At 34.1% G+C, this 11,033-nt stretch overlaps 1 protein-coding gene across 4 annotated transcripts in view; it reads right to left on the bottom strand.

Annotated features, from left to right (window-relative positions):
• Positions 1-11,033, bottom strand: part of ZNF727 (zinc finger protein 727) — a 39,906-nt gene that overhangs the window by 8,908 nt on the left and 19,965 nt on the right. For 3 of the 4 annotated variants that reach the window (XR_242241.4, XR_927469.2, NM_001159522.3), the window contains exons 2-3: positions 7,415-7,541; positions 6,823-6,918 (exon numbers count right to left, since the gene is read on the bottom strand). Coding sequence is in view for 2 of the 4 variants with exons in the window: in NM_001159522.3 (NP_001152994.1) it covers positions 6,823-6,918; positions 7,415-7,541 (223 nt within the window). In the remaining 2 variants the exon portion in view is untranslated. The remainder of the gene's footprint in view (positions 1-6,822; positions 6,919-7,414; positions 7,542-11,033) is intronic. The other variant, XM_017012225.3, reaches the window with a different exon arrangement.

The raw sequence follows: 11,033 nt of genomic DNA, 5'->3' as shown, positions 1-11,033 counted from the left end.
ACCGTGTTGGCCAGGCTAATCTTGAACTTCTGACCTTGGGTGATCCGCCCGCCTGGACCACTCAAAATGCAGGGAATACAGGTGTGAGCCACCACGCCTGACCCTTGTAGTTTTTACAATTAAGAATAAAACAATCATTGACTAATAACCAAAAAATAAAAAAGTAAATATACAAGTCATAAAATAGGAGTAATATTTTACACAGGCAAACAAACACATAAATAATTATAATGGCAATATATGTATGACTGATTCATATCTGACTTCTGTCCGAATATTGTTTTAATGTGTACAGAGTTGAATATTGGCATAAAAAATTATACACAAATAAAAACTAAAAGCACAATTAATTAATGACATAGCCAACTAAAACATGAGCCACTAAAATATAAAATAGTAAACAAAATTTAACAAAAAAATTAACCAAAAAATATTGAATCAACATAGTGTACTACTAAAAAATAATTATTCTAGATAGCCATGCATTTTAAATGTGACTGCACATTTATAAAGAGCACATATTTTGGTATTTTTGTTCAATTTGAACTTTTCCTACATGTTCAGAGGCTACATGGCTAGGTCTGTTACATTGGTATATTATGTACTGCAAAGTTTTGGGATATTGCTACTACTACTCAGGTAGACGGCACAGTACCCCATAGGTAGCTTTTCAGGCCTTGTCTCTTTCCTCCCTTCCTCCACTAGTGGTCTCCAGCATCTATTGTTTCCATCTTTATATCCATGTATACCCAATATTTAGCTCTCACTTGTAAGTAAGAACATGTAGTATTTGGCTTTCTGTTTTTGCATTAATTTACTTAAGATAATGGCTTTCAGCTGCATCAGTGTTGCTACAAAGAGCATAATTTTTTTTTGGCTGTGTACTATTTCATAGTGTATAGGCACCACATATTCTTTATCCAATCCACCACTGATAGGCAACTAGATTGATTTCAGGTTGTTGCTATTGAAGACAATGAAGTTTGAATCACTAGTATATAGTGACAGCAATAACATGTTATAGAAAATGCATTATAATCATTTATAAAAAGCTTTGATGAGAAAATATGATGAAATAGGCACTTAAATAATACTGGACATATTTATTATGTCATTAATATATAGCTACTATTTTTGCACAAAATGTAAAGGCAATAAGGTGACCTTTGGAAGCAAAGCATTATATTACTAAATAATATAAACAATATAAATACAGTACAATATGATATAAAATAAAATGAACAATTAGAAATAAATTTATACAATTATATAGACAAAGTCTGAGAAAAGTTGATGAAAATGCTGATAACATTTTGTATGCAGTAAACTTAGACATATAAATCAAAGATTTTAATATATGGTGTGCCTATTAATTATCTAATTCACTTTTTATATAACATATACATTTGAGTACATTAGCTCAGAACCTGTGAAATTACAGGCATAGTTGGTATACAGCAAATCAGAAAGAAAGAAAAAAATATATATAGGACACAGCCCTAGTAATCTTCATAGTAAAGAAGATAAAATTTAAAAATAATGGTTATTAAGAAAGAGGTAACAATTTCGAGTTTATTATATGCTGGACAGTGTCCTATGGTATTAGTGTTTTCATGCGTTCTGTGAGCTGAGTAGATCAAATCAACTATTCCACAGTACAGGCATTTCTCATACAGCATTTAAATTTCTAAGCTTAGTTCCTACTAAAATAAAGATACTTTCGAAGTGAAATAGATGTTTAGATTTTCTTGTACTTAATCAGATGCTTTGTACTCTGATAAAAGTTATCACTTTCATTTTCTGTATGATCAGTTGACTGGAAATTATAAAGCAGAAAACATATGACATCTGTCCCTGGCCTCTCTCAAATCTCGACCAAATCTCAATGTCTCCCCTACTCCTCTCACAGATGTCTAACATAAGGCACAAACAGATTTTTAAAAACAGCTTAACATAGTGGTCTCCAAAAATCTGCACAAATTTTCCAAATCCCTCAAAGCAACAGAAGAGCAGTTACATTATTTAGATCCTCACAGCAAAAATATGAGTTTGTCTCTCACTGTGAAGGCACCAGCAGATTATTAAATAAACTGAAGATTTAGAGAATTCAAAAGCCTAATAAGTATGCATCAAAAAATTTTCTTCCATGACAGTAAGAGGTTTTTCAAGAATCAATTCCATTGGAGAACAGCTTCCCAATCCACAATTTAAACTCTTGTTTTCTCCTTCGCCTTTGGACATTTCACATGTGTTATCTACCAAATCATTCTGAGTGTAAACTATTCTTTCCACTCTTTTCACACTCCAGTAATATTTTCTATGATGCAGAAGGTAACCAGGTCTAGCTTAAAGACTTTCCAACCCAACCTTTCTTTCCCTCAACACCAATTAGGCTAAGTAAAGCACAATCAACTCCCAGTACTACCCTCAGGAGAGATCTAGAACAGTGGGTCTGTTTAAAGTTATGAAATTATAGGAGACTGTCCAATTAATAGAGTCTGTCTCCCTTAATATGAAAATGATGGAGTAATGAGAATTATAGTTTGTATGTGCTAGAAGAAAGGTGAATGCTTGTTACAATACTAGAGGAATTGCAATGCCACAGTCAACTAGGGAAGCAAAAGATTATAGAATCTGAAAAGAAAATGAGGAAAAGTCTCTTTATCTTAGAAATTACACACAAAAATCCAAAGACAACTGAGAACATGTTTGTGAAGCACTGAAAATCTATAGCCCGGCCCATTGCTATAGCCAGTCTTTAAGCAAGTCTTTAAATATTAGATTAGATGGCTGTTTTTAAGTTTCCAAATTTCAAAAAAGGATGACATGACATAAAAAAGACAGAAAACGTACCCCACTTAAAGAAATAAATTTCCAAAACTCAATCCTTAAGAAAAGAAGATCTTTGCATTATCCGACAAAGATGTCAAAATAATGATACTAAGTATGCTCAATAACTCAAAAATAGAACAAAGAAAAAAAAGAACCCAGTAGAAATCGTGGAACAGAAAAATAATTGTTGAAAAATTTTGTAGAGTCACAATAGAATAATTGACCAGAAAACAAAAATCAGAAAACTAAAGACATGTTACTTATAAATATTGAGTCATGAAAAAAAAAAACACACAAAAAATTGAAAAACATCAACATGGAATATGTAACTTATTAGATACCATTAAGGAGACCAATATATTCATGAAAGCAGTCTTTGAAGAAGAATGCAGGGGAAAAGTCATACAGAGGTTATTTAAACAAAAAAAGGGCCTAAGAACTTCCCAAATTTCAAGGTGATGAAAAAAAAATGCTACCAATCAAGGATACTTAATCTGGGAGAAATTTACTTTAAAAAATAAGAAAAAAATAAAGACTTTCTAATATGAACAAAAGGTAAGGGTGTTCATTACCCCTAGAACAGTCTTATAAGAAATAGACAGACTTGGTGGTTCACACCTGTAATCCTAGCAACTCTGTAGGGTGAGGCAGAAGAAGAATCATTTTAGGCCAGGAGTTTGAGACCAGCCTGGGTGATACGGTGAGACCCCTTATCAAAGAAGAGACTTTTATCATAATTTTGTTTTTCAGGGAGAGGGTTTTAAAACCTGCTAGAACTAAAGATTGATTGGAGTCATTTTGAAAAGGCAGGCCCTCATTCAGGCGGCAAACTTGAAAATGCTTGGTCTTAGCTACAGACCAAGAAATGGTTCACCTATTTTGACCCACTTAAAATTCTGCAGTGACTCTATAACTATCTCCGGCTCCTTCCAGCCATAGTCAAGGAGTGGTTCTGCACATCCAGAGACCCAAAGAAAGATGCCTATTTGTGGTTACAGCAGTAGGTCTGCAGACCTTGGCCTTTACTGTGCTCTCTGAAACAGTTCAGTGACTCAGTTTCAGCACCGATAGTCACAGTTTGTGGCCAGTTCTGCCAATCTAGGTGCCCAGAGAGTGACCTGAGGAAATCCTGCCACATACTCAGTAAGAAACACACATCAGGCACACCATATGCCAAACCTACTGCAGAACTCTGCCCTAGTGCTAGCCCTACAGATCAAAGTCCTAAAGGCAATTCAGTCTGCCAAGAAATAAGACAGGATTAACAACTACCCAGGCTCCTGGTAACAAACTCACTAAAGGCAAACTCCACAACAGACCAAGAAGCAGCCATGTGACCCACGTATAACCCCTCTCCACTGCATACCCAAAAAGATTCTATCAGCTAACTGACCCAAGAGAAGATTTGTACCTGCTGAAATCAGTCTATAAAATTGGAAAATTTAGATTCAATAAATCCCCTATTAAAATTTTAGTACAATTTTTCGAAGTAATAGAAAATTCAATCTTAAAATTTATATGTAATTACAAGAAACTTTAAATAGCCAAAGCAGTTTTGAGAATTAAAAACAAAGCTAGGGGCATTATACTTTCTAATTTTAAACTACATTTGAAGGCTATTGTAATAAAAACAGGATGCTCTGTGGATAAAAATGCACACCGATATCAGTGGAGCAGAATGGAGAGCCCAGAAACAAATCATGTAAGATCAACTCATCTTTGACACTGAGCCACAGAGAACACACAGTGCAGAAAGTACAGTCTCTTCCATGCTTGGGGCTGGGAAAAGGGAATACCCAGAAGTAAAAGAATAAAATTAGACCACTTTTCTTACACTGTATTTAAAATTAACTAAATATAAAATAAGGACTCTATGACAAAATTCTTAATAATCTTAAAAGAAAACATAGTTTAAAACCTTAATATTGGTTTTGAAAATGAATTTTGGGATACAACAGAAAAGTACAGCAATGAAAGCAAATATAAACAAATTAAACTGCATCAAACTAAAACGCTTCTGCATAACCAAGAAAAAATAGTATAAGAAAACCATATCCGATAAGTGGTTAGTATCAAAAACACATAAGAAACATAAGAAACTCATATAAATAAAAGGCAACTATAATGATAATAGCAGTAATAATAACAAGATTTAAAAATAAGTCAAGGACTAAATAAATGTTAATTAATGAAAACATATAGTTGGGCAACAGGTATGTAGAAAGGTGCTCAATGTCACCAATCTGGCAGATGCAAATTAAATTCATGGTGAGATATTACTTTATACCTGTTAGGACTGCTAACACCAAAAAGAAGATTTATAACAAGTGTTGACAAGAATATATTAAAGAAAAAAAATGATGTACATTCTTGGTGATGTGTAATTTCTTAGAGACATTATGAAAACCAGTATGAAGGTTCTTTAAAAAAATTTTTAATAGTACTATTGTACAATTTAGCTATCTCATTTCTGCATATACAATAAATTTACTATCTCAAAGAAATACCTGCACCTCCATGTTCATTGAAGCATTTTTCACAATTGTCAAGATACAAAAGCAATCTAAAGTGTTTGTGGAAACTGACTGCACAAAAAAAAAACATGGTATATATACAAAACAGAATATTATTCAGCCATAAAAAATAATAAAACCCTGACATTCTACAACATGGGTGGACCTAGATGACGTTATGCCGAGTGAAACATCACAGAAACAGAAAGACAAATACTGTATGATCTCACCTCTATGGAGAATATAATAAGGTTGGACTCCTAGAAGAAGAGAGTATAGAGGTGAGTGCTAGGCCCTAGAGGTGGGGAAAGTGGGATATGTTGTTCAAATGGTACAAATTTTCAGTGAAAAGACATAAGTTATGGTAACCTAAGGTATAGCTTTATGATTATAGAAAGTAATACTGTTAGGTATGCTGAATATTTGCTGAGAGATCTTAACTGTTCTCACTACAAAAAAGTAAGTATGTAAGGTTATAAAATTGTTCATTAATTTGATTGTATTAATCATTTCATTATGTATACAGATATAAAATCAATACATTATATATAATATATAGGTATTCAATTATTATTTGTGAAAAAATTGACGTTACTGGTATTATATGTCTCTGTCATACACATTCATATATACACATGTTTATATACATACATATGAATGACACAGTCACAGTAAGCTTTATACTAAATAAAATCACAAAATGATGTCATTTAAAATAAAGATTGGGAGTTTAATATGTACTCAACAATGTTGCAAGCTCCCCAATGACACAGTATATTTAATAAATGTATGAAGTAGATACACTGAACTATATTACAGTTGAGGAATTTGGCCACATTTGCCAACATTTGTTTATATGAAAAGAATAACATTTGAAGTAATACTATTTTAGAGTTTGTTTCATTTAGGGAGATGCTTAGTGTTTTAATATAATTACTGAGTATAAATTTCTGTAAAATCACATTTGAAGCCTCCATAGAATAGAAAATTATAAAGCAGGAAGCACACATCTTTTTGTGGTGTTCCTGGGATTTCTGATCCAAATTGCAATATCACCAAAACTTCTACATTTAGACATTATCCAAAAACAGAACTTAAAAAAATGGTTTAATATAGTTTCTCAAAAATAGATACTGCTGTTTCCCCCAAGCAATGGAAAAGCAGTCAAATCACACATTTTCTTTTAAGGCATGAAAAAGACTTTATCACTGTAAACTCAAAAAACCCACAAAAAACAAAAAAAACAACAACAGCAGCAACAACAACACACATTACTGAAGGGGATGTACAGTGCTTAGAAAATTCACAAGAATGGGACAAAAAATTCCCCTATGTTAAAGCAAGAGAAAGAAATGAAGGCTTCTCAGAAACGATTTCCACTGGAGCAGAGCTTCTGGAAGCATGTTTCAAGGTCTGGCTTCCTCCTTGACATTGGGAACCGTCATTTATGTCATTTGCTTCACTCACTCCCACCTACCTGGGTGTTTGGCTACTGTCTTCTGTCTCCTCGCATTCCAAGGCTCTTTTCTTTGCTCCAGATAGGTAATCAAGTCTGGCTTAAAGATAGCAAGACCTGTTTTATTAGAAAAAAATAACATGACTCTTGCTAGGATAATCTGATTACCAATCTAGTACTATGCTCAGTAGAGAAGAGAGAACATTATAGAAGACTCTAGAAAATTAATTCCAATCTACTGTTTTGTAACAGAAACTTCAGAATATTTAGAAAGTAAATTTGTGGGTTATTAGCTCTATTACCCAGTAATATTGCATCAAAAATCAGTTGTGAAAATTGCATTTTTAGGAGTGGGTAACAATATTTTATGCTATCAAATTTCTGATATTACCATAATTTAGACTGAAATATACAGATGAGCTCAAAAAAGGGAAAGATTAATGTTAAGATGAAACATCTTAAAGATTATATTTACTACCTAAACAGATACCCAATTTTTTCTTTTTGAAGCAGGATTCTGAAACTCATTTATGCAAAGCAGAACTTCAAAAAAAAAAAGAGGAAATAAAATATTTAATGTAGAATATGAGTTGTATATTGAAGTTATTCTCACCCAAGGAGAACAGGTTTCCGTAGTTCTCTAACATCACATCCCTATACAAACGCTGCTGAGCAGAGTCCAGGCATTCCCACTCTTCTGGGGAGAATTCTACAGCCACATCCCTGAATGTTAGCACTCGCTGAAAAACAAAACATATTTACCAAGTGACCAAAGAAATAATTCTTGATTTGACATCAGGTAAAATGAGAGTAAAGAGAGCTGGTTCTGACTTATATGAGTTACTGGAGTTATCCAATAGGATACTTTCTAGCACAGAAATATTCTCTAATGTATTTTTAACTCTGAGAAAAAATGGCATAAGATCACGAAACCAGTGTATATACAATACTTTTCTTGATGATACAGTATAAAATGAAGGACATTAACACAGGCATGAACATTACTTAATGCTATATTTACATAATACAAGATGAGCTGTCTATACTTCCCACATGGAAACTTCATGGTGAGTTAAAAGCATACTTCTCAAATCTTATTGTGCATAGCAATAAACAGGAGATCTTGTTAAAAAGCAGATTTTGACTCTGAAGATCTAGGGTAAAGCTTGAGTTTTTGAATTGATAAGAAGTTTGCCAGTGGTATCATTGCTTCTGGCCCAAGGAGAATATTTTGTCAAAAATTCAGTAAGTGGCACAGCCTAGGTTTTTAGTTTATCTGACCAGTAAAGAAAGATGAGAGCCTTCACTTTCCATAGGAAGCGATATGCAAAGAGAAGGTAAGAAGAAAGAAGAGCTGTCAGATTAAATGTGGCTTAATCTTGTTTTTGCACATCACTTGATAAAACTCCTCAAGGTACCTATTAAAAATAAAGAGTATAATAATTAACTCGAGTGAAAAAATATCTGTCAGAGAGCATTTTTACCAAGTAAATAAATGAAGATCAACTATATTAAAAGAAATTTGTATCCGGTGCTGATTAACAAAGGATATGACACTACTGTGCTATGATTAACATTAACACAAAAAAGGGTCAACTTAATCTGAGCCTAGTCATGAAGAAACATCAGTTTTAAGCAAAATTTAAGCTACAAATATCTCTCATGTTCTGTAATCTCTAATGGTGTATATAAATAAGTCTTTCTCTTTTTTAGTTAAACTTTTTTTTAAAAGCTTTAAGTTCTGGGATACATGTGCAGAACACGTGGGTTTGTTACATAGGTATACATGTGTCAAGGTGGTTTGCTGCACCTATCAACCTGTCGTCGAGGTTTTAAGCTCTACATGTGTTAGGTATTTGTCCTAATGCTCTCCCTCCCCTTGCCCCCAATCCCCTGACAGGTCTCAGTGTGAGATGTTCCCCTCCCTGTGTCCACATGTTCTCATTGTTCGACTCCCACTTATGAGTGAGAACATGCGGTGTTTGGTTTTCTGTTCCTGTGTTAGTTTGCTGAGAATGATGGTTTCCAGATTCATCCATATCCCAGCAAAGAACATGAACTCATTCTTTTTTATGGCTGCATAGTATTCCATGGTGTTTATGTGCCACATTTTCTTTATCCAGTCTATCACTGATGGGCATTTGGGTTGGTTCCATGCCTTTGCTATTGTAAATGGTGCTGCAATAAACATACATGTGCATGTGCCTTTATAGTAGAATAATTTATAATCCTTTGGGTATATACCCAGTTACGGGATTGCTGGGTCAATATTTCTGGTTCTATACCCTTGAGGAATTGCCACACTGTCCTCCACAATGGTTGAACTAATTTACACTCCCAAGAACAGTGTAAAAGTGTTCCTATTTCTCCACATCCTCACCATCATGTTTCCTGACATTTTAATAATCACCATTCTAACTGACATGAGATACTATCTCATTGTGGTTTTGATTTACATTTCTCTAATGATCAGTGATGATGAGTTTTTTTTCATGTTTGTTGGCTGCATAAATGTCTTCTTTTGAAAAGTGACTGTTTGTATCCTTTGCCCACTTTTTGATGGGGTTGTTTTCTTCTGGTAAATTTGTTTAAGTTCCTTGCAGATTCTGGATATTAGCCTTTTGTCAGATGGATAGATTGCAAAAATTTTCTCTCATTCTGTTTGTTTAGTTTTTTCTGGTAAATTTGTTTGTTTCTTATAGATTCTGGATATTAGCCCTTTGTCAGATGGATAGATTGCAAAATTTTTCTCCCATTCTGTAGGCTGCCTGTTCACTCTGAGGATAGTTTCTTTTGCAGTGCAGAAGCTCTTTAGTTTAATTAGATCGCATTTGTCAATTTTGGCTTTTGTTGTTATTGCTTTTGGTGTTTTAGTCATGAAGTCTTTGCCCACGACTATGTCCTGAATAGTACTGCCTCAGTTTTCTTCTAGGGTTTTTATGGTTTTAGGTTTTACCTTTAAGTCTTTAATCCATCTTGATTTAATTTTTGTGTAAGGTGTAAGGAAGGGGTCCAGTTTCTGTTTTCTGCATATGGCGAGACAGTTTTCCCAGCACCATTTATTACCTAGGGAATCCTTTCCTCATTGCTTGTTTTTGTCAGGTTTATCGAAGATCAGATGGCTGCAGATATGCGGTATTATTTCTGAGGCCTCTGTTCTGTTCCATTGGTCTATATATCTGTTTTGGTACCAGTACCATGCTGTTTTGGTTACTGTAGCCTTGTAGAATAGTTTGAAGTCAGGTAGCATGATGCCTCCAGCTTTGTTCTTTTTGCTTAGGATTGTGTTGGCTATATGCACTTTTTTGGTTCCATATAAAATTTAAAGTACTTTTTTCTAATTCTGCAAAGAAAGTTAATGGTAACTTGACGGGAATAGCATTGAATCTATAAATTACTTTGGACAGTATGGCCATTTTCATGATACTGATTCTTCCTATCCATGAGCATGAATTTTTTTTTCAATTTGTTTGTGTCCTCTCTTATTTCCTTGCTTTAGCATCCTAGAGAGGAAGTCTCTTCTAATTATTTTTTATTCAGAACTTTCTGACTTATCCTGGGCAATAAAGACCATTCTCATTAAATGTGCATTTTTATAAGCAGTTTTGCACAGATTTAATGGAAGCTAAACAGAACATGGTCTCCTTCTTCAGTGATAACCAAGGACCTGATACAATCTCAAACAGGAATCTTGGGCATCCACACCTTTCCATGTTCAACAGCCACAAAAGGAACATTTGTAATGCTGCAGGTTATAAATTCATGGTGACAATTTTTTCACGGCTTATTAAAAGCTACAATGTGGAAAATAAAGAGAAGGCTCTGGTACACAAGAAAGAAGTATTTCTCAGAGCCCCTTGACTATCAGGAGAATAAAAAGTGGAAAAGGAGTTAAACTGATTAGGCAAGAACATCACAAGTGGAGAAGTTAACATTTGCAAGTTCTACACACGTGATATTTCAGAAGAAAAAGTGGACACAGTCTCTGACTTCAGACACATTCACCTCAGAATAAGCCATTTCTTTATTTTTCTTCTCCTTCTCTGTGATCCCTTCCAGGTGTGATTATCTGCACAAATTAAACCTGTTTCTTGAGAATATGCCTTTGAAGCATGAGCAAAACTCCTTCCCTTGAAATCACCACACTCACAGGCAGAAGGCCCTAGAATTGCAGATAAAGTCTGCCTTTGTTTGTCTTTTATCACAGGGGAGGTTTGGAACCAGTAAACTCC

The sequence above is a fragment of the Homo sapiens genome, chromosome 7, assembly GCF_000001405.40.
Source record: "Homo sapiens chromosome 7, GRCh38.p14 Primary Assembly".
NCBI lineage: Eukaryota > Metazoa > Chordata > Mammalia > Primates > Hominidae > Homo > Homo sapiens.
This window is presented reverse-complemented; position numbering and strand designations above follow the sequence as displayed.